This window comes from Homo sapiens, chromosome X, assembly GCF_000001405.40.
Source record: "Homo sapiens chromosome X, GRCh38.p14 Primary Assembly".
Taxonomy (NCBI): domain Eukaryota; kingdom Metazoa; phylum Chordata; class Mammalia; order Primates; family Hominidae; genus Homo; species Homo sapiens.
In genome coordinates, this window is record NC_000023.11 from 71182591 (window position 1) to 71206939 (window position 24349).

The following is a 24349-nucleotide window of genomic DNA, read 5'->3' on the forward strand; positions in this document are numbered from 1 at the left end:
TCAATTCCAGAACCCCCGCAGCTCTGAGTCCCTAGCAAAGGTCAGCTGCCTTGCCCCAACAGCCGGCCCCACTGAGGGAGGAGTCCGGGGGAGTACAGTCAGGGTTGAAAGTTTACAAACATTTCTCTGGGTCTCGGGCATCTGCAGTGGGCACCTGCGGTGGGCACGTATGACAGTTTTGCCGGGGGCTGCAAATGCAAAATTGCAGCCCTAAAGAGGAAACAGACCTTCAGTCGTTAATAGGAGGAGGGGGAAAGGAAGGGGGAGTAAGAAAAGTAGGGAGCTGAGACTGAACTAACAAGCTCTTCTGGACCCAGACCCCTGAAATAGGCGAATGAATGGACTTCCACCTGCACAAGAAATCCTAGCTTTCCTGGATAGGGTCAAATGAAGCCAATAGAACATCCATAGTGAGAAGTTGGCAAGAGACTGGCTAAATTTGCCCCCTTTGGGCTGCTTCTTGTAGTCTCATTTGCTCTTTGATGCTCACACAACCATCACCACTTCTCTGCTGTGTCTCTTTATCCCACAGCTAAAGCATGTGATTGAAAACTTGCAGTTTGACCTAAGTTTAACACTGCCTTGTATAGGGCTTTGTGAATAATGGGTGCAGGATCAATTCCCCGGAGCCTGAGTATCATACCAAAGGCTAGAGACTCAGGGGCCTCCCAGTCTGCAAAGTGCTCTCAGACTCAGGCACATATTCTGAGGGAGCTTTTGCATTTTGGTCTTGGATCTCCAGGAGAGGACAGGAGTTTGCCGATTGGGAAAACAAAGAAGGTGCTAAGAAATAGGTGACCACCTTATTTTTTTATTCCCTCCTAAGCAGCCCCGCTGCTCTCCCTTTGGAGGCCCCTTGGCTAAGTCTCATCCAAAGTTCATTTGCATTGTCCAGCTTGCCCCTCTGGCCTCAGAGAGGAATGTAGCCAATGAACAGGAAAGAGGAGGCATGCTTTCTGTCCCTGCTGGGGTGGAGAGTAAGTGGAGACACGAATCCTACCCCCTCCCCAGTTTCTGCTTCCAGCGCCTCTCCTTCATCTTCATCACAAAACATTTCTGAGGCATTTCTCTGTCCAAGACTCTGTCCACATTACTTTACACGTAGTCGTTGCCTTGACAATCAGAGACAACAAGGGTTGAGTGACACTAAAAATGCAGAAAGCGGCCAGGCACGGTGGCTCATGCCTGTAATCCCAGCACTTTAGGAGGCCGAGGCAGACGGATCACTTGAGGTCAGGAGTTCCAGACCAGCCTGGTCAACATGGTGAAACCCTGTCTCTACTAAAATCACAAAAATTAGCTGGGCATGATGGTTCATACCTGTAATGCCAGCTACTCAGGAGGCTGAGGCAGGAGAATCGCTTGGACCTGGGAGGCGGAGGTTGCAGTGAGCCAAGATCGTGCCGCTGCACTCAGTGAGACCCTGTCTTAAAAAAATAAAATAAAAAAAGAAAATGCAGAAAGCACATACATGCAGGGTGGGGAGAAGTAGGTTCATGTGTAAAATGTGTAATCCACAAATGTTCACACCAGCCACACATCTGGGGTCAGTGCAATTTCAGGGGGAAGGAATCAGGATAAATGCATGTAACTGAGATGAAAAGTGGGAGTGGGCAATCGTGAGAGTTTTTTGTTTATCTAGGCAGATTGGGACCAGGAAAGCTATTGGCTCTCAACTGCAAAGGATTCCTAGAGGACATGGGATTGCAGAAATAGCTGAGTGACAGAACCAAATGGAGATAAGGTATTTGCCTCCCGAGGTGGGAGTGGGATTAGCAAATGGAATCGACTTTGATCAGGAAATGGAATAACCAGTGATTGTTATTTCTTTTCCTCCTCCCCTCTCAACACACGTTTGTTGAGTGCCAATTCTGTCGTAGATACTGGAAACATAAAAACAATAACGATAGAAAATAGTTCTTGGATATTTACTTAGGTGCCAGGTATATATTAAGCATGTTATCTTCTTTAAATCTCACAGTGACCTTCTGATGTAGGTATCATTATCATGCCCATTTTGCAGATGAGCCAGCTGTGGTTCAAAGAGATGAAGTGACTTACCCCAACACCACACAACTAGCTGTAAGTGAAAGAAGTGGGATTTGAATCTAGGAAATTAAAGTCTAGAGCCTGTGCATTTAATCAGTATGCTCTACCTTATCTTTTAGAAGGACAGTGATAGAAGTTGGATTCCTTTGGTGACAGGGGATGCTAGAACAGGGAGGGTCAGGACTTTGAGAGCAGACAGATGGTCCAGGGTAAAGCAGAAGATCCCAGAAGTAGAAGCAGAGCCTCAGCCAGCTATTTAGACAGGCAGGTAGAGCAAGCATCTGGGTAACCAGGATGCAGCAGAAGCCAGGAGGAAGCCCAGACAGGCAGGTGGTTGGCAGCCAGAGTGTCTGGCAGCCAGTGACAGAGGCCCTGCCATGGGGCCTGGGCTTCCAGGGAAGGATGCCAGGTGTCAAAAGGTCTGGCAAGAGCTAGACAAGCACTATCCCTGTGAAGATGAAGGTGCCAGATAGGGCACTAAGGTAGGACGCAGGAGCTGGGGGCACCAGAACAGGTGCTTCAGGAAGGGGCTTCTGTACAACAAAGCAGGAAACAGTCTACGAGAGCAGGGACCAACTTCACTTATTCACCCTTCCATCTACTCTTTCAACAGCATTTTTTGAGCTCTTGCCATGTTCCAAGTACCATGCTAGGCTCTGAGGTAACACACAGTCCGGTAGGGGAGCCAGACCTGTTTTACAGGTATCTCCAATACTGTGTGATAAGTTCTATATTAGAGGCACAGACAAACTGTGTGGGGATGGGGGTAGGGAATACTAACTTATCCTGACAGAGTTCGCAAATAATTTTTTCTTTTTAGATGGAGTCTCACTCTGTTGCCCAGGCTGGAGTGCAGTGTTGCGATCTCGGCTCACTGCAACCTTTGCCACCCAGGTTCAAGCGATTCTCCTTCCTCAGCCTCCCAAGTAGCTGGGATTACAGGCATGGGCCACCATGCCCAGCTAATTTTTGTATTTTTAGTAGAGACGAGGTTTCTCCATGTTGGCCAGGCTGGTCTTGAACTCCTGGCCTCAAGTGATCCGCCCACCTCAGCCTCCCAAAGTGCTGGGATTACAGCCATGAGCCACTGGGCCTGGCCCACAAAGAATATTAACTCTGAGCTGGGTCTTTAAAGAAGAAGAGAAATTTTGGCCGGGCGCGGTGGCTCACACCTGTAATCCCAGCACTTTGGGAGGCCGAGGTGGGTGGATCACGAGGTCAGGAGATCATCATGAGGTCAGGAGATCAAGACCATCCTGGCTAACACAGTGAAACCCTGTCTCTACTAAAAATACAAAAAAATTAGCCGGGCGAGGTGGCAGGCGCCTGTAGTCCCAGCTACTCGGGAGGCAGAGGCAGGAGAATGGCGTGAACCCGGGAGGTGGAGCTTGCAGTGAGCCGAGATCGTACCACTGCACTGCAGCCTGGGTGACAGAGCAAGACTCCGTCTCAAAAAAAAAAAAAAAGAAGAAGTAGAGAAATTTTCCAGGCTCAGAGTGGTGAGGAGGATTTCAGGCAGAGGGAATAAAGTTTTTAAAGAGTAAGGCACATTTGGGGGACAGTAAGCAATTCATACAGGACAATGGGTACATGGTAGGGAGGGGTGGGGAACATGAATCTGAAGAAGACCTAAGGCCAAATTATAAAGGCTTTTCTGAGAGCTGCTGAAGATCTTGGATACTCTCCCATAGGTAAAGGGGAGCCAACTGTGGTCTTTATGTCAGCAAGTACCTGTATTGCACTGGGGTGTTTTAGAAAGACCACAGGGGACAGTATCTGGTTGCACTGGAGGCAGGCAGATAACTCAAGATGTTCTTGCAACTGTGCAGGCAAAAAAAAAAAAAATGATACGAGCGGCCGGGCGCGGTGGCTCATGCCTGTAATCCCAGCACTTTGGGAGGCCGAGGCAGGCAGATCACAAGGTCAAGAGATCGAAACCATCCTGGCCAACATGGTGAAACCCCATCTCTACTAAAAATACAAAAACTAGCTGGGCATGGTGGCACATGCCTGTAATCCCAGCTACTCAGGAGGCTGAGGCAGGAGAATCACTTGAACCCAGGAGGCGGAGGTTGCAGTGAGCCGAGATTGCGCCACTGCACTCCAGCCTGGCAATAGAGCAAGACTCCGTCTCGAAAAAAAAAAAAAATGATAAGAGCTTGAACTAAGATAGTGACAGAGAGGATTAGTTCGGGAAAACATTTCTGAAGGAGAATTGACAAGACTAAGTGATTGATGTGGTCAGTGAGGGGGGAAAAAGGAGTCAGAAACAACTCAAAAAAATTTTTGCTTGAGAAACTGGGCCTGTGGTGACATCATTCATATAGGGACTGGGAATCTAGGATGGGGAGCAGGTTTTATGGAGGGAGATAAGTGATTCAGTTTGGCATATGTTGAGTTGGAGGTACCCAGTGATGTGCTCGAAGACATTTAACTACTGGTTCTAGATGGTGGGAAAAGGCTTGATGAACCAATTTCTGTGGTAAATACTCCCACCCCTAATTTCAAGCCACCCCTAATGTGACATCAATCACTCGAAAAATTCCTAAAATTTTAACAATTGGTCTCAGAGACCCATGGAAAGAACTATACCAGATACTCTGAGAGCACAGGCTTCTGATGGCATTGCTTAAATAACTTTGAGACTGTACCACTGGACTAAGTCGAGATTTCCAGAACTCCAGTGGAGAAGCCAATGGGATCACAAAACTGCTAACCCAATATCTTAACAGAACAAGAATTAATTACATAGGACTGAATAAACTGATGAAAGATTATTATGGTTTTTATTTAGAATATTGCTGCTGGATTTAAGAAAGCCCTTTTTTCTTTTCAGTTATCTATACTCATAACAACTAGTAGATTATACTTTTATTTATTTATTTATTTGAGACAGAGTCTCGCTCTGTCGCCCAGGCTGGAGTGCAGTGGCACAATCTCAGCTCACTGCAAGCTCCGCCTCCCGGGTTTACGCCATTCTCCTGCCTCAGCCTTCTGAGTAGCTGGGACTACAGGCACCCACCACCACGCCCGGCTAATTTTTTTGTATTTTTAGTAGAGACGGGGTCTCACCGTGTTAGCCAGGATGGTGTCGATCTCCTGACCTCGTGATCTGCCCACCTCGGCCTCCCAAAGTGCTGGGATTACAGTCATGAGCCACTGCGCCTGGCCTATTTATTTATTTATTTATTTATTTATTTATTTATTTATTTTTGAGATGGAATCACACTCTGTTGCCCAGGCTGGAGTGCAGTGGCGCGATCTTGGCTCACTGCAACCTCCGCCTCCCAGATTCAAGTGATTCTCCTGCCTCAGCCTCCCTAGTAGCTGGGATCACAGGCAGTACCACCACACCTGGCTAACTTTTGTATTTTTTAGTAGAGACAGGGTTTTGCCATGTTGGCCAGACTGGTCTCGAACTCCTGACCTCAGGTAATCCACTCACCTCAGCCTCCCAAACTGCTGCGATTACAGGCATAAGCCACCGTGCCCGACTTTTATAAACAGAAATGAGATATTTATCTTCTCTCTCTGACTGATTCCTGTGGAATTTGGGAACTCTTATTGAGTATTCTTATTTTCATAGCAATATAATTATCTGCATAAATCCAATAAGAATCTGTCCTCCTTCTAACAGGACATAACTGAAAACATTGGTTCTATAACCAAGACTCTGACTGGAATGTCATATTCGAGAATAGTATGCATAGAATGAGATATAACCAAACAGTTTTAAGGAGCTAAGGTTGACTTTATGGACCAAAAGATTACAAAGCCCTCATGAGAAAAATGACCTGGTACCTGGCTTATAGGGATCCCAGCCTTATTCTTGTTTACAAAAGAAGCCTGGTCTCATTAGATTCAGTGTTATTTCCCGGGCACGGTGGCTCATGCCTGTAATCCCAGCACTTTGGGAGGCCGAGGCGGTGGATCATTTCCCCAGGTAAGATACAAGGTCACTTCATGGCAGGCAGGCTCAGGAATCTTAGGATATTTATGGGACCTTGAGAAGAGAGGAATTCACCCAAATTTATAAGTACTGCAGGTGAAATCTGGTCACAAGTTCTTGGCTTGGCTTCCTAGCCTCCAGAAGGCTTTTAAAAATCTAATATGAGACTCCAGGCCAGGCACCGTGGCTCATTCCTATGATCCCAGCACTGTGAGAGGTCAAGGTGAATGGATTGCTTGAGCCCAGGAGTTTGAGACCAGCCTGGGCAACATGACAAAACCTCATCTCTACTAAAAATATAAAAAATTAGCCAGGGATGGTGGCATGCACCTGTAGTCCCAGCTACTAGGGAGGCTGAAGTGGGAGGATCATCTGAGTCCGGGAGGTCGAGGCTGCAGTGAGCCTAGATTGCGCCACTACACTGTAGCTAGGGCAACAAAGTGAGACCCTATCTCAAATAAAAAGAAAAGAAAAGAAAAAACTAGTATGAGTTTCCTTATTAAAAGTTACAGCAAAGCAGACTGAAAAAGGCCTATGTGGCCACATACCATTCTTGCCGCTCTTATGTAAACAATAACACCAAATTATTTTATTCATTTATTTATTATTTATTCATTTATTTATTTTTGAGACAGGGTCTCACTCTGTCACCCAGGCTGCAGTGCAGTGGCGTGATCTCGGCTCATTGCCACCTCTGCTTCCCAGGTTCAAGCGATTCTCCTGCCTCAGCCTCCCAAGTAGTTGGGATTACAGGCATGTGCCACCACACCTGGCTAACTTTTGTATTTTTTAGTAGAAACAGGGTTCAGCATGTTGGCTGAGCTGGTCTCAAACTCCTGACCTCAAGTGATCCACCTGCCTCCGCCTCCCAAAGTGCTGGGGTTACACGCATGAGCCACCATGCCCAGACAATAACACCAAATCTAATGAAACCAGACTTGGTTTGTAAACAAGAATAACCTTACTGGCCGGGTGTGGTGGCTGGCTCACGCCTATAATGCCAGCACTTTGGGAGGCCAAGGCAGGTGGATCACCTGACGTCAGGAGTTCGAGACCAGCCTGACCAACACGGAGAAACCCCGTCTCTACTAAAAATACAAAATTAGCTGGGCGTGGTGGTGCATGCCTGTAATCCCAGCTACTTGGTAGGCTGAGGCAGGAGAATCGCTTGAACCTGGGAGGTGGAGGTTGCAGTGAGCTGAGATCATGCCATTGCACTCCAGCCTGGGCAATAAGAGTGAAACTCCCTCTCAAAAACAAAAACAAAAAAGAATAACCTTACTTTGATTATCTTTTTTGTTTGTTTGTTTGTTTTGTTTGTTTTTGTTTTTGTTTTTGAGATGGAGTCTCGCTCTGTCACCCAGGCTGGAGTGCAGTGGCGCCATCTTGGCTCACTGCAAGCTCCGCCTCCCAGGTTCACGCCATTCTCCTGCCTCAGCCTCCCAAATAGCTGGGACTACAGGCGCCCGCCACCATGCCCAGCTAATTTGTGTGTGTGTGTGTATTTTTTAGTAGAGATGGGGTTTCACCATGTTAGCCAGGATGGTCTCGATCTCCTGACCTCGTGATCCACCCGCCTCGGCCTCCCAAAGTGCTGGGATTACAGGTGTGAGCCACCGCACCTGGCCTGTTTTTGTTTTTAATTGAGACAGAGTCTCCCTCTGTCACCCAGGCTGGAATACAGTGGCATGATCTCGGCTCACTGCAACCTCTGTCTCCCGGATTCAAGCGATTCTCCTGCCTCAGCCTCCTGGATAGCTGAGATTACAGGCACATGCCACTATGCCAAGCTAATTTTTGTATTTTTAGTCGAGACGGGGTTTCACCATGTTAGCCAGGCTGGTCTCGAACTCCTGACCTCAGGTGATTCCCCTGCCTCGGCTTCTCAAAGTGCTGGGATTATAGGCGTGAGCCACACCATGCCCGGCCTTGTTTGTTTGTTTTTAATCCCCCCTTCTGCACACTGATTTTGATTGCCATTGATCAAAAAGGGGGGGTGACTGTAGAAAGAAATTTTATGTTTCAATAGAAAACTTTAGCACATCCTTGTGGGTTACTAGACTCTAGTCCTGTTCATTGTCTTTGAAATATTTTTCACCACTTGGCAATCTGCATTTTACGTTCTACTTTGTTATCTACCTGTAAATTGGACTAGATTCTGCTGTCTTGTGCATTTTGTTAGTCCTCAACAAGTTCACAATTCTTCCAGTTTCCTTCAATATCTAGCTACAACTCTCTAAATTGGTCTTTCCAATTTTTTTCCCACCCCCCTGACTTGGTGACACTGGGAACTAAAACCTGACTGCCTAGATCCTTATTGGGACTCTAGGTTGTCTTGTAGTTGACTTTCTTTCTCCCCAGGATCTAAAGAAGCCCTACAAGCTAAAGCAAGACACCTTGATAATAAACCTTCAAAGGAGTCGTCACCAAAGCAGATCATGTATGAACAACCTTCGTGCCTGCTGCTGTGTGGGCCACTCAGGAAGTTCAGTGGAACTTCCATGCTCTTCCATGCTTTGCTCCAGGAAATAACCACCCAAACTGCAAACCAGAAAATCCCTTGGCTTGCCACTGCTGTCCTCACTCCACCATCTAAAGATGCTTCAAGCCCAGTGTATAGAAATCTTCTCAACTGGTTGCCCTCTGGACTCATGAATTTATAGTCTGCTCCAACCATCAGTCTTTTTTTTTTCTTTTGTTTTCACAGAAACCACCCTCATTAAATACCTGATTGCAAATATCCTCTACTACCAAGTCTTAACACATGGTTCAGCTGGTCCTTAATGAACAAAAGGCTACTGAATGAGAAATGACTTAAACTGTTCACAGGAAAGAAGAATGTCACTTCCTGCCTTGAACAAAAGGAGGGAATGACAAAGAATCTCTCACTGACCAAACTTTATTTAGGCTCCTCTGAGCTCTCTTTTTGACTAGACCTCTACTTTGGCCCTTGTCCTGTCTTTGTCCTGCTCAGTCAAGTCTTAGCAGGGAATCCTGCTAAGTTATCCCCCTACCATTGATATCTGATCAAGTTCTTCATTGCCCCACTTTTTGTTTTGTTTTGGTTGGATTGTTTGTTTGTTTGTTTGTTTGTTTTGAGACAGAGTCTCGCTCTGTCGCCCAGACTGGAAAGCGGTGGCGCGATTTTGGCTCACTGCAACCTCTGCCTCCTGGGTTCAAGCGATTCTCATGCCTCAGCCCCCAAAGTAGCTGGGATTACAGGTGCCCGTCACTACGCCTGGCTAATTGTTGTACTTTTATTTTATTTTATTATTTTATTTATTTTTTGAGACAGAGTCTTGCTCTGTCGCCCAGGCTAGAGTACAGTGGCGTGATCTCGGCTCACTGCAACCTCCACCTCCCAGGTTCAAGCGATTCTCCTGCCTCAGCCTCCTGAGTAGCTGAGACTACAGGTTCCCACCACCAAGCCCGGCTAATTTTTGTACTTTTAGTGGAGATGGGGTTTCACTGTATTGGCCAGGCTGGTCTCGAACTCCTGACCTTGTGATCCGCCCGCTTCAGCTTCCCAAAGTGCTGGGATTGCAGGCATGAGCCACGGCACCTGGCCTTATTTTTTATTTTATTTTATTTTATTTTATTTTATTTTATTTTATTTTATTTGTGGTGACAGAGTCTCACTCTGTCGCCCAGGCTGGAGTGCAGTGGCACGATTTCAGCTCACTGCAACCTCTGTCTCCCGGGTGCAAGCGATTCTCCTGCCTCAGCCTCCCAAGTAGCTGTGATTACAGGCAACTGCCACCACACCCAGCTACTATTTTTGTACTTTTAGTAGAGACGGGGTTTTGCCATGTTGCCCACACAGGTCTCAAACTCCTGACCTCGTGATCCACCTGCCTCGGCCTCCCAAAGCTCTGGGATTACAGGCATGAGCCACCACGCCCGGCCATTCCCCTACTTTTGATCTCTAAATCCTTGGCCCTACTCTTGATGTCTCCTCTCAGTAATTGTCCATCCACTGACCCCTTACCCCACTCCTCGGCTATAAATAAATCCCCATGTGTCCTTACTGTATTTGTACTGTATTTGGAGTTGAACTCCATCTTTCTCCCCTATTGGAATAGAATAGTCTTTTCTCTCTTTCTTTCTTTCTCTTTCTTTCTTTCTTTCTTTTCTTTTCTAGAGACAGGTTCTCACTCTGTCACCAAGCTAGAGTGCAGTGATGTGATCATAGCTCACTGCAGCCTTGAGCTCCTGGGCCCAAGTGATCCTCCTGCCTCAGCCTCCCAAGTAGCTAGGACCACACCAGGCTAATTTTCTATTTTTTAATTTTTATCTATTTATTTCATTATTTATTTATTTATTTAGAGATGGAGTCTCACCCTGTCACCCAGTCTGGAGTCCAGTGGCATGATCTTAGCTCACTGCAACCTCCGCCTGCTGGGTTCAAGCAATTCTCCTGCCTCAGTCTCCTGAGTAGCTGGGACTACAGCCGCGCTCCACCATGCCCGGCTAGTTTTTTGTATTATTAGTAGAGATGGGGTTTCGCCATGCCAGCCAGGCTGGTCTCAAACTCCTGACCTTGTGATCCACCTGCCTCGGCCTCCCAAAGTGCTGGGATTACCAGGTGTGAGCCACTGCGCCCAGCCTATTTTTAAATTTTTATTTATTTTTCTTAATTTTTAAAGTATTTTGTAGAGATGAGGACTTGCTGTGTTGCCCACCCTACTACTCGGGAGGCTGAGGCAGAAGAATTGCTTGAACTTGGGAGGCGGAGGTTGCAGTGAGCCAAAATCGCACCACTGTACTCCAGCATGGGTGACAGAGTGAGACTCCATCTCAAAAAATAAAATAAAGTAAAATAAAAAATAACAATTGGCTGCCAGTACAAGCTGACTTCAGCACATCAGTAGAGGTGCCTGAGGAACATCCAAGAGATGTTTGGAAGACCACTGGAAACACAGATCTAGAGCCAGCAAGTTTGGGGCTGCTCTGCCTTTGTCCTCATCCTTGCCCTGCCCCAGCTGTTCCTGCCCATGATGAGCTGATGAGTCCAGCTGATGAGCCTGCCCATGCACCTGTACTCTTAGGCTATGCTCCCCTCAGCCTTGCCTTAGAGTCCAGCAGGTCAGGATGAGGAATCTGTCCCCTGCATACCAACTGGATTGGTAATTTAACCTTTTTTGCAGTTAAATGCAAGAGTATCTTGCTAGACTCTCCCAGGACACAGTTTAGCTTAGTTCTCACCTGAATATTCTGGCAATATTTCCCAAACTTTAGTTATTCAAGTATCACATTCACGATTTTTGCTCTATTTGCATGACTACTTGTACTATTATTTACTTAACATTTTTCTTTAAATTGCCTTTAAATCAACTCCTTCCCTCTTTTTGTAATATTGCCTTTTCCGAAGCAACAATAATCTAACTCATCCTAAATAAAAAAAAAAATCCATGAGGAATATGTCACACTAGAGACCAACATTCTTTCTCTCAAGAAATTCAACAGTCATCTTGTGACAGATTTGTTTCTTTTTTTTTTCTTTCTTTTTTTTTGAGACAGAGTCTCACCCTGTCGCCCAGGCTGGAGTGCAGTGGCGCGATCTCAGCTCACTGCAAGCTCTGCCTCCCAGGTTCACACCATTCTCCTGCCTCAGCCTCCCTAGTAGCTGGGACCACAGGCGCCCACCACCACGCCTGGCTAATTTTTTGTATTTTTTAGTAGAGATGGGGTTTCACCATGTTAGCAAGGATGGTCTCAATCTCCTGACCTCATGATCCACCCACCTCGGCCTCCCAAAGTGCTGGGATTACAGGCGTGAGCCACCATGCCTGGAGTTTTTTTTCCTTTTTTGAGATGGAGTCTCGCTCTGTCGCCCAGGCTGGAGTGCAGTGGCGCGATCTTGGCTCACTTCAACCTCTGCCTCCCAGATTCAAGCAATGCTCCTGCTTCCGCCTCCCACTTAGCTGGGATTACAGGCATGTGCCACCATGCTGGCTAATTTTGTATTTTTAGTAGAAACAGGGTTTCATCGTGTTGGTCAGGCTGGTCTCGAACTCCTGTCCTCAAGTGATCCACCCGCCCTGGCCTCCCAAAGTGCTGGGATTACAGGCGCAAGCCACCGCGCCCAGCCTTATTTTCTTTTTTTTTTTCTTTTTTTGCTTTTCTTTTTTTGAGACAGAGTCTTGTTCTGTGGCCAAGCTGGAGTGCTGGAGTGCGGTGGCATGACCTCAGCTCACTGCAACCTCCACCTCCCAGGTCCAAGGGATTCTCCTGCCTCAGCCTCCGGAGTAGCTGGGACTACAGGCCCATGACACCACGCCCAGCTAATTTTTGTATTTTTAGTAGAGACGGGGTTTCACCATGTTGGCCAGGATGGTCTCCATCTCCTGACCTTGTGATCCTCCCGCCTTGGCGTCCCAAAGTGCTGAGATTACAGGCGTGAGCCACCACGCCTGGCCCATTTTCTTTTTTTTTTTTTTTTTTTTTTTGAGATAGGGTCTCGTCCTGTCACCCCTGCTGCAGTGTAGTGGCGCAATCTAGGCTCACAGCAGCCTTGACCTCCCAGACTCAGATGATCCTCCCACCTCAGCCTCCCTAGTAGCTGGGACTACAGGTGCATGCCACCATCCCTGGCTAATTTTTTATATTTTTAGTAGAGATGGGTTTTTGTCATGTTGCCCAGGCTGGTCTCAAATTCCTGGGCTCAAGCAATCCACTCACCTTGGCCTCCCACAGTGCTGGGATCATAGGCATGAGTCACGGTGCCCAGCCTGGAATCTCATATTAGATTTGTTTGTTTGTTTGTTTTTGTTTTTTTTTGTTTGTTTGTTTTTTGAGACAGAGTCTCACTCTGTCGCCAGGCTGGAGTGCAATGGAATGATCTCGGCTCACTGCAGCCTCCTCCTCCCAGGTTCAAGAAATTCTCCTGCCTCAGCCTCCTGAGTAGCTGGGACTACAGGCATGCGCCGCCACACCCGGCTAATTTTTGTATTTTTAGTAGAGACAGGGTTTCACCATGTTGGCCAGGATGGTCTTGATCTCCTGACCTCGTGATCTACCCACCTCAGCCTCCCAAAGTGCTGGGATTACAGGCGTGAGCCACCGCGCCTGGCCTCATATTAGATTTTTAAAAGCCTTCTGGAGGCTAGGAAGCCAAGCCAAGAACTTGTGACCAGATTTCACCTGTGGTATCTATAAATCTGGGTGAATTCCTCTCTTCTCAAAGTCCCATAAATATCTTAAGGTTTCTGCCAAGAAGTGACCTTGTGACTTACCTGGGCAAGTAATCCGCCTGCCTCAGCCTCCCAAAGTGCTGGGATTACAGGCATGAGCCACTGCACCCACCCAGGCAATAATACTGACTCTAATGAGACTAGGCTTGTTTTGTAAACAATAATAAGGCTGGGATCCCTGTAAGCCAGGTACCAGGCCAGTTTTCTCATGAGGGCTTTGTTAGCATTTGGTACCTAAAGTCAACCTTAGCTCCTTAAAACTGTTTGGTCATATCTCATTCTCTGTCTCAAAAAAAAAAAAGAAAAAAAGAAAAAAAAAGAACAGGATGTGGTCATCACCCCCAAGGTCTCATAGTGTAGTAAGAGACAGACATCGAGATCCAGGAGCACAAGAAGGGAACATAATTTCTATCAGAAGAAGGGGTTGGGAATCTGAGAAATCTTCACAGAGAAGATGACGTTGGGATTTGAAAGATGAGTAGAAGTTATCCCAGTGAAGAGTGGGGAGGGCACTCCAGGTAGAGGGACACATGAGGAAAGGCATTCAGATGTAAATGTCTGTGACATGGTTGGGGATGACTAACAGTTCAGTGCAGCTAAACTGCAGGCTGCTAGGGGCTAGACTGTGAAGGGACTCCTTTAGCCATGTTCAGGAGTTTGGACTTTATTCTGTAATCTAGATAATGGGAGCCTTCAGAGGTTTTTTTAAGCCGGATTGATCACATGTCCGGAATTGGAAGGGTAAAACTGCAAGTGGGGAGACCATTTGAGACACTTTCATAATTGTCTGAGCAGGAGGGGATGAGGGCCTGTTCTAAGCCAATGAAAAGATACTGGGGGAGAGTGAAGTAGAAGTAGAAATAGAGAAGTAAGGGAGGTGATCTGATTTGGGAAATAAATATAATGACTTGATTTTTAGATCGATTATAGTGAAGCTATTAAGCTCTCAGGCTGTGGAATCAGGAAGAATCTTGACTACGTGACACCCCAGTTATGTGACCTTAGACATTATTTAACATCTCTGGGCTGGGTGCTGTGGCTCATGCCTGTACTCCCAGCATTCTGGGAGGCCGAGGTGGGTGGATCATTTGAGCCCAGGAGTTCGAGACCAGCTATAGGCAACATGGTGAAACCCTGTCTCTACAAACAATAGAAAAATTAGCCATGCATGGTGGCAGGCACCTGTAGTCCCAGCTACTCAGAAGGCTAAGATGGGTGGATCACTTGAGTCCAGGAGATGGAGGTTGCAGTGAGCCAAGCTTACGCCACTGCATTCCAGCCTGGGCAACAGAGCAAGACTCTGTTTCAAAAAAAGAAAAAATCTCTGACCCTCAGCTTCCTCATCGACAAAGTGGGGATAATAAAATACCTACCTTGTAGGATTGTTATAGGATGTAAAGGAGATAACATATGTGATATGCTTAGTACAGGACCCAAAATTAAGTACTGAGTGTTAGCTATTATCATTAGTATTATTAATTTTACTGCAAGCTAAATTTAATAATTTAAATAATACTATTTAATTTAATACTATTTAAATTTAAATAATGCTATTATCATTAGTATTATTAATTTTACTGCAAGCTAAATTTCAGTGACTGGTGGAAATGTCCAATAGACAGTTGGAAATGTGAATTGAGGTGCGAAAGGAAGGTATGAACCAGAGATTTCTGATCTACCTTGTAGAGATAACAGTTGCTATGGGAGTGTGGCTAAGTCTCCCTGGAGGGCAGAGAACGAAATTTTTTTTTTTTTGAGACAGAGTTTTGCTCTTGTTGCCCAGGCTGGAGTGCAATGGTACGATCTCAGCTCACAGCAACCTCCACCTCCCCGGTTCAAGTGGTTCTCCTGCCTCAGCCTCCCAAGTAGCTGGAATTGCAGGCATGCGCCACCACGCCCGGCTAATTTTGTATTTTTAGTGGAGATGGGGTTTCTCCATGTTGGTCAGGCTGATCTTAAACTCCCGACCTCAGGTGCTCCGCTCGCCTCGGCCTCCCAAACTGCTAGGATTACAGGCGTGAGCCACGGCGCCCAGCCAGAGAACGGAATTTTACAGAATGTTCACATTTAGAGATGGTAGGAGAAAGGTCATAGAAAAGTAGTGGCTTGAGAGGGAGGGGTCCTTACCTTGGAGAGGATCTTTAAATTGCTAATCAGTGGCTTCATTTAAGTCCTCAGTCTCTGACACTTCTGCAGCATTGGATGCAAGTGACCTCTTAAAGCCTCCTTTCAGAATCTCTCTTCAGTTTCCATGGTGTTCTGTACACTTCGATCTTCTGTGATTATGCATAGATGTCACAGCTGAGAGCCTTATAGAGCTTACTTACTCCAGCCCCCTCATTTTACAAATGAGGAGACTAAAGAGCCAGAAAATGGAAGTAGCTTGTTCAAGGCTCACAGGCAGTTGTTCCTTCCTTGTCTTCCCCCCACCAGCTTTTCTCACTTCCCATGGTTCTTCGCTCTTTGCTCTCATATACTCATTTCCTCTTTCGATAAACTCATCTGTCTGCATAGCTTCTAGTGTTGCTTTCAGGCTTTTGGTTGCCAAATCCGAAATCTCTCCCACCCTTGCCTGCTTCAGAGCTGCTATCCCACCCTTTGTACAGTCAGCTAGGTGTTCCACTAACACCTCACACCCAGCATGTCTGCACATCATCTTTCCCCATACTACTAGCTTCCCTCTTTGACTCCACTATCCTATTCATGGCACCTCCATTTTCCTAGTTAGTTAATCCTTTACCAAGTCTGGTCAGTTAGTCCTACATAAAGCCCCATGCAGTACAGTCGTTAAGCATATTCCAGCTGTAGGAAACCTTAAAGGTACTTATTTCTCCAGCTTCGCCTTTTTCTTTTTCTTTTCTTTTTCTTTCTTTTTTTTTTTTTTTTTCTGAGACGGAATTTTACTCTCGTTGTCCAGGCTGGAGTGCAATGGCGCGATCTCGACTCACTGCAACCTCTGCCTCCCGGGTTCAAGCAATTCTTCTGCCTCAGCCTCCTGAGTAGCTGGGACTACAGGCGCGTGCCACCAGGCCCGGCTAATTTTTGTGTTTTTAGTAGAGATGGGGGTGTGCCATGTTGGCCAGGCTGGTCTTAAACTCCTGACCTCAGGTGATCCGCATACCTCGGCCTCTCAAAGTGCTGGGATTAAAGGCGTGAGCCACCACGCCCAGCCAGCTTCGCCTTTTTCAAAAGAAAAAATTGAGTCTGTGGGAGGCAAGGCAATACAGCCTGTGAATGGAAGTCAAGACTAGAACCCAGGGGCCAGGCGCAGTGGCTTACGCCTGTAATCCCAACACTTTGGGAGGCCGAGGCGGGCAGATCATCTGACGTCAGGAGTTCGAGACCAGCCTGGCCAACATGGCAAAACCCCGTCTCTACTAAAAATACAAAAATTAGCCGGGCGTGGTGGTGGGGGCCTGTAGTCCCAGCTACTTAGGAGGCAGAGGCAGGAGAATTGCTTGAACCCGGAATGTGGAGGTTGCAGTGAGCGGAGGTCACGCCACTGCACTCCAGCCTGGGCGATAGAGTGAGACTCTGTCTCAAAAAAAAAAAAAAAAAGACTAGAACTCAGGGATATTGGAAACCCCATCCAATGTACTTTGTACCACACAACATTGCCTCTTGCAATCTTATTATATTCGTCACTTCCTTTTCATCACTATTGCCACCTCCCTAGATTAAACCTTCATAATCTCATGCCTAGATTGTTGACACAGCCTCCTACCTACCTTTGCAGCCTCTAGCCTACTTAGTCCCCAGTGCACCCCGTCACGTTAATCACCCTAAAGCACTGTTTCTACCTTGTCATTCTCACTGAAAAGCTTTTAGTGGTTCCTCACTGCCTACCAAATAAAAAATAAAATTCAAATTTCCAAGCCAGGCACTAAAACTCCTCCAAAATCTGGTGCCAGCCCACCTTTCCATGCCTCATTACCCACACTACCCTTTTATACCCTATGGCCCAGCCATATCCAATATCCTGTGTTCCTTGAACAGCTTATGCACTTTCATGCCCTGTTGCCTTTTTACACAATGTCCTCTCAACTTCAAGCATTCTTCCTTTGATTTTTTCCTGATCCAATGTCTACTACTCCCTTCCAAGGCCCAACTCAAACGTCCTAGTCCATGAAATCATTTCAGATTCCCCTAGTCAGAATTAATCTCTGTGAAAACATGTGTGACAAGACTTGCTGTCATAGGTGTTCAGTAAACATGACTTCCCATCCCCCTTCCCCTTTTTACCTGTGTTCCCACAACATATTGCTAATACCTCTGTTTAACACTGATTTCACTTACCTTGTAGTAGAGCTACTTATTTAAACAACCAATGAGACTCATCTCATTCATTTTGCATCCTCCACAGCCCCTAACAGAGTTCCTGGTACACAGTAGGTACCAGGAACTTAACAAATATTTATTGAAATGAAACCTGTGGTGCCAAGTTTCGTTAGTAATTCAGCAGTACCCACTCCTGTTTCCAAACATGAAGTGATATGTTGAGAGAAGAGAATCTGGGAAACCTTGTTGGAAAATCGCCAACAATTTGCTTCAGAGCAGCCTCAGTAACTTTCAACCTGACAGTTCGCTTGAGGATGATGAGGTATGAGGTAGGAAGGGTGACAACTCAGATAAGTTTCTTGTCCACGCATTCTTTTTTTTTTTTTTTTTTTTTGAGACGGAGTTTCTCTCTTGTTGCCCAGGCTAGAGTGCAATGGTGCAATCTCAGCTCACCACAACCTCCACCTCTGGTTCAAGCGATTCTCCTGCCTCAGCCTCCCGAGTAGCTAAAATTACAGGCATGTGCCACCATGCCCAGATAATTTTGTATTTTTAGTAGAGATGGGGTTTCTCCATGTTGGTCAGGCTGGTCTCAAACTCTCAACCTCAGGTGATCCACCCTCCTTGGCCTCCCAAAGTGCTGGGATTACAAGTGTGAGCCACCAAGCCTGGCCTGTCCATGCTTTATTTATTTATTTATTTATTTATTTATTTATTTATTTTATTTTTATTATTATTTTATTTTTTTGAGACAGAGTCTCACTCTGTTGTCCAGGCTGGAGTTCAGTGGCATGATCTTGGCTCACTGCAACCTCCATTTCCCATGCTCAGGCAATTCTCCTGCCTCAGCCTCCCAAGTAGCTGGGATTACAGGCATGTGCCACCAGGCCTGTCTAATTTTTGTGTTTTTAGTAGAGATAGGGTTTCACCTTGTTAGCCAAGCTGGTCTCGAACTCCTGACCTCAGGTAATCTGCCCGCCTCGGCCTCCCAAAGTGCTGGGATTACAGGCGTGAGCCACCAAGCATGGCCTGTCCATGCATTCTTTAAAATCAGCTGAGGTCCAGCCAAGCACGGTGGCTCACGCCTATAATATCAGCACTTTGGGAGGCCAAAGCGGGCGGAACATGATGTCAGGAGATCGAGACCATCCTGGCCAACATAATGAAACCCCATCTGTACTAAAAATACAAAAATTAGCTGGGCGTGGTGGTGTGCACCTGTAGTCCCAGCTACTAGGGAGGCTGAGGCAGAAGAATCGCTTGAACCTGGGAAGCGGAGGTTGCAGTGAGCTGAGATTGTGCCACTGCACTCCAGCCTGGCGACAGAGTAAGACTCCATCTCAAAATAAATAGGTAAATAAAATAAAATAAAATCAGCCTTAGGTCAATGTAGGCCCATCATCCCAAGCCAGTGGGTTACAAGTAGCTGGAGAGAGCAGTGACTGGTGCTAAAGAGGTGAGGAAGTGGAAGCAGAAGCTCTTTGGAGCCATTTGGAAAAAGAGGCTACCACGATCCAGAAGTTAATCTTTCCCTGAAAAGGAATTCTTGACCTTGGAAGAGTGGGTAACCATGATGGATGATGCAGGCCAAATAGGTTGGCATGTGTGACACACCTTTATGGTCTCTCCAGGCCATACTGGACACAGCTTTTATAATAGCTAAGGCTGCTGTGCAGATCATTCCAATTCTGGAAGTGCTGCCTGAAATGTGGCCAAGATAAAAAGATGACTGGATTCTCATGCTGACAGCTGAAGGACAGCTTGAAGGCCTCAAGTCATTTATTTGTTGATCACTTTCATTCATTTATTCATTCATTCATTCAATCATCATCAAACATATTCTAAACACCTACTATGTGCCAGGCACATAGGTGCTAATACAGAGATGAATGGTTCCCTGTCCTAAAAAGTATTTTGTCTAGGCCAGGTGCGGGAGCTCATTCCTGTAATCCCAGCACTTTGGGAGGCTGAGGTGGATGGATCACTTGAGGTCAGGAGTTTGAGACCAGCCTGGCCAACATGTTGAAACCCTGTCTCTACTAAAAATACAAAAATTAGCCAGGTTTGCTGGCACATGCCTGTAATCCCAGCTACTGGGGACGCTGAGGCAGGAGAACTGCTTGAGCCCGGGAGGTGGAGGTTGCAGTGAGCCAAGATTGCGCCACTGCACTCCAGCCTGAGTGACAGAGCCAGACCCTGTCAAAAGAAAGAAAGAAAGAAAAAAAGAAGGGAAGGGAAGGGAGGGGAGGGGAGGGGAGGGGAGAGAAGGGAGAAAAGCCGGGTGCGGTTGCTCATGCCTGTAATCCAGCACTTTGGGAGGCCGAGGCGGGTGGATCATGAGGTCAGGAGATCGAGACCATCCTGGCTGACACGGTGAAACCCCGTCTCTACTAAAAACACAAAAAATTAGCTGGATTTGGTGGTGGGCGCCTGTAGTCCCAGCTACTCGGGAGGCTGAGGCAGGAGAATGGTGTGAACCTGGGAGGCGGAGCTTGCAGTGAGCTGAGATCGCGCCACTGCACTCCAGCCTGGGCGACAGAGCGAGACTCCGTCTCAAAAAAAAAAAAAAAAAAGAAAAAAGAAAAGAAAAGAGAAAAGAAAGAAAGAAAGAAAGAAAAGAAAAGTAAACAGAGAAAGGAACTCTGAGTAACAACATTTAAGGGGCACAATAAGAAGAAAGCATGGAGCAGTCACAGATACAAGAGAGAGACCAGTAGAGAAAATTATAACAAAAATCAAAGGAGAGCTGGAGGCAGCACTCCTGTAGTCCCTGTAGTCTCAGCTACTTGTGAGGCTGAGGCAGGAGGATCGCTTGAGCCCAGGAATTCAAGACTGCAGTGAGCTATGCTGGTGCCTGTGAAAAGCCACTACACTCCAGCCTGGACAAAACCTCATCTCAAAAAAAAAAAAAAAAAAAAAAAAAAGGTGAAAGGATTGGGAGGCCGAGGCGGGTGGATCACCTGAGGTCAGGAGTTCGAGACCAGCCTGGCCAACATGGTGAAACCCCTTCTCTACTAAAAATACAAAGAAAAAAAAAATAGCCAGGTGTGGTGGTAGACGCCTGTAATCCCAGCTACTTGGGAGGCTGAGGCAGGAGAATCACTTGAACGTTGGAGGTGGAGGTTACAGTGAGCCAAGATCACGCCATTGCACTCCACTCCAGCCTGGGCAACAAGAGCAAAACTCCGTCTCAAAAAAAAAAAAAAATCAAAGGAGACTATGCAGCCACTAAAAACCATGTTTTAGAGGCATACTGAATGACATTACAAAATGGTCATCAAAAAAGTGAAAAAAGCAGGATGCAAAACAATATATCTCAGTCGGGCACGGTGGCTCGTGCCTATATTCCCAGCACTTTGGGAGGCTGAGGCAGGTGGATCACCTGAGATCAGGAGTTTGAGACCAGCCTGGCCAACATAGTGAAATCCCGTCTCTACTAAAAATACAAAAATTAGCCGGGTATGTTGGTGTGCGCCTGTAATCCCAGCTACTCGGGGGGCTGAGGTAGGAGAATCGCTTGAGCCCGGGAGGCGGAGGTTGCAGTGAGCGGAGATGGCGCCACTGCACTCCAGCCTGGGCGACAAAGCAAGACTCTGTCTCAAAATAATAATAATAATAATAATAATAATAATAATGTCTCATATGATGACAATTTTATTTAAAAAGCATATGTATATATTTCTTATTGAAAAATGAATTTAAGGGGCTGGGCACAGTGGCTCACTCCTGTAATCCCCAGCACTTTGGGAGGTCAGGGTAGAAGGATTACTTGAGCCCAGGAATTTGAGACAAGCCTGGGCAACAAGGTGAGGCTCTATCTCTACAAAAAATTTAAAAATTACCTGGGTATGGTGGTGCATGCCTGTGGTCTCAGGTACTCAGGAGGCTGAGATAGGAGGATCACTTAAGCCAAGGAGGTTGAGGCTGTAGTGAGCTGTGATCATGCCACTGCACTCCAGGGGACAGAGCGAGACTCTGTCTCAAAAAAAAAAAGAAAAAAAAGAAAAATGACTTTAAGGTTTCACATCTGTTAGCAATGATTTTTGTTTTTTGGGGATTTTTTTTTGAGATGAAGTCTTGGTCTGTCTCCCAGGCTGGAGTGCAGTGGCGCGATCTCAGCTCACTACAACCTCTGCCTCCCGGGTTCGAGCGATTGTTTTTCTTTCTTTCTTTCTTTCTTTCTTTTTTTTTTTGAGACGGAATCTTGCTCTGTTGCCCAGGCTGGAGTGCAGTGGCGCGATCTTGACTCACTGAAAGTTCCGCCTCCCAGGTTCACGCCATTCTTCTGCCTCAACCTCCCGAGTAGCTGGGACTACAGGCACCCGCTACCACGCCCAGCTAATTTGTGTGTGTGTGTGTGTGTGTGTGTGTGTGTGTGTGTGTGTGTGTGTGTGTGTGTTTAGTAGAGATGGGATTTCACCGTGTTAGCCAGGATGGTCTCGATCTCCTGACCTCATGATCTGCCCGCCTTGGCCTCCCAAAGTGCTGGGATTACAGACGTGAACCAGTGCGCCCGGCTGCTCAAGTGATTCTTGTGGCTCAGCCTCCAGAGTAGCTGGGATTACATGCATGCACCACCATGCCCAGCTAATTTCTGTATTTTTAGTGGAGACAGGGTTTCATCATGTTGGCCAGGCTGGTCTCAAACTCCTGGCCTCAAGTGATCCGCCCGCCTCAGCTTCCCAAAGTGCAGGGATTACAGGCTTGAGCCACCGTGCCTGGTGACTATTTTTATTTTCACCCTTATGATTTTCTTTTTTCTTTTTCTTTTTTTTTCTTTTTTTTTAAGACAGAGTCTCACTCTGTTGCCCAGGCTGGGGTGCAGTGGCAGAATCTTGGCTCACTGCAACCTCCACCTCCTGGGTTCAAGCGATTCTCCTGCCTCAGCCTCCAGTGTAGCTAGAATTACAGGTGCGTGCCACCACGCCCAGCTAATTTTTGTATTTTTAGTAGAGACCGGGGTTTCACCATGCTGGCCAGGCTGGTCTCAAACCCCTGACCTCAGGTGATCTGCCTGCCTCAGCCTCCCAAAGTGCTGGGATTACAAGCATGAGCCACCATGCCCGGCTGATTTTCCTTTTTTAATTTTCAATTTCTTATTTTATTATAAACCATTATTTCTTCTTTATTTTCTTTATGTTTTAATTTTCATTTTTAAGTGCAGGGGTACATGTGCAGGTTGTTACATAAGTAAACTTGTGTTATGGGGGTTTGCTGTACACATTAAACCTAGTACCCAATCGTTATTGCTCCTGATCCTTTCCCTCCTCCCACTCTCTGCCCTCTAATAGGCCGCAGTATGTGTTTTTCCCCTCTCTGTGTCCATGTGATTTTCTTTGTACTTCTCAGTTTTTCTGTAAAGAACAGGCATTACAGCCAGGCACAGTGGCTCACGCCTGTAATCCTAGCACTTTGGGAGACCGAGGCAGGTGGATTGCTTGAGCTCAGGAGTTCAAGACCAGCCTGGGCAACACAGTGAAACCCTGTCTCTACCAAAACACAAAAAATTAGTCGGGCGTGGTGGCGTGTGCCTGTAGTCCCAGCTACTTGGGAGGCTGAGGCAGGAGAATTGCTAGAACCCAGGAGGCTGAGGTTGCAGTGAGCTGAGATCACACCACTGCACTCTAGCCTGGATGACAGGGCGAGACTCTGTCTCTGAAAAAAAGAAAAAAAAAAGGAGAAAAATAAAAGGATGAATTGTTTGATGAAGGTGGGAGCGGTCAACTGTATCAAACACCTCAGAGAGGTGCAGTGATGCTAGTCCTGAAGGGTGTCCATTGGATTTAGCAACAAGGTGACCTTGGCAAAAACTATTTAAATGAAATGGGGAGTGGTGGAGGAAGCCAGGTTGGAGGGGAATTGAAGAGTAAATAGGAAATGAAGAAGTGTAGACAGCAAATACAGAGGTGTCGTTGAGGCCAGGTGCAGTGGCTTATGCCTGTAATCCCAGAATTTTGGAAGGCCAAGATGGGAAGATCATCTGAGGTCAGGAGTTCAAGACAAGCCTGGTCAACACGGCAAAACCCCATCTCTACTAAAAAATAAAAATAAAAATAAAAAATTAGCCAGGCGGGCCAGGCACAGTGGCTCACACCTGTAATCCTAGCACTTTGGGAGGCCGAGGCGGACGGATCACGAGGTCAGGAGATCGAGACCATCCTGGCTAACACAGTGAAACCCCGTCTCTACTAAAATACAAAAAAAAAAAAAAATAAAAAATAGCCAAGCGTGGTGGCGGGAGCCTGTAGTCCCAGCTACTTGGGAGGCTGAGGCAGGAGGATGGCGTGAACCTGGGAGGCAGAGCTTGCAGTGAGCTGAGATCATGCCACTGCACTCCAGCCTGGGCAACAGAGCGAGACTCCGTCTCAAAAAAAAAAAATTAGCCAGGCGTGGTGGCGTGGGCCTGTAGGCCCAGCTACTTGGGAGGCTGAGGCAGGAGAATCACTTGAACCCGAGAGGCAGAGGTTGCGATGAATCAAGATTGCGCCACTGCACTCCAGCCACAACCAAGCGAGACTCCATCTAAAAAAAAAAAAAAGTGTCTCTCAAAATATGTGGTTAAGAAGGAAAAGAGAGAGGGCAGAAACCCAGTTTAAGATATCTTCCAGTTTGGGGGCCAGGCACTGTGGCTCCCGCCTGTAATCCCAGCACTTTGGGAGGCCGAGGCAGGTGGATCACTTGAGGTCGGGAGTTCAAGACCAGCTTGGCCAACATGGCGAAACCCCGTCTCTACTAAAAATACAAACAAATTAGCCAGGCATGATGGTGCACACCTGTAATCCCAGCTACTCAGGAGGCTGAGGCACGAGAATCGCTTGAGCCTGGGAGGCAAAGGCTGCAGTGAGCCAAGATCGCGCTACTGCACTCCAGCCTCGGCAAC

At 46.8% G+C, this 24349-nt stretch overlaps 1 long non-coding RNA gene across 1 annotated transcript, besides 2 other annotated features; it reads right to left on the minus strand.

Annotated features, from left to right (window-relative positions):
* Window positions 1-791: 791 nt before the first annotated feature.
* LOC107985688 (uncharacterized) lies at window positions 792-15603 on the minus strand. Its single transcript, XR_001755878.2, has 2 exons — window positions 15319-15603; window positions 792-1427 (listed from the first exon to the last, which is right to left on the minus strand). It is a non-coding gene; the product is annotated as an uncharacterized LOC107985688 (long non-coding RNA).
* Window positions 13470-13599: an enhancer, noted in NCBI's record as "active region_29740". NCBI's record gives its function as "activates an Ori minimal core promoter by ATAC-STARR-seq in GM12878 lymphoblastoid cells {active_cell/tissue: GM12878}" and the evidence as "EXISTENCE:reporter gene assay evidence [ECO:0000049][PMID:35858748]".
* Window positions 15746-15925: an enhancer, noted in NCBI's record as "active region_29741". NCBI's record gives its function as "activates an Ori minimal core promoter by ATAC-STARR-seq in GM12878 lymphoblastoid cells {active_cell/tissue: GM12878}" and the evidence as "EXISTENCE:reporter gene assay evidence [ECO:0000049][PMID:35858748]".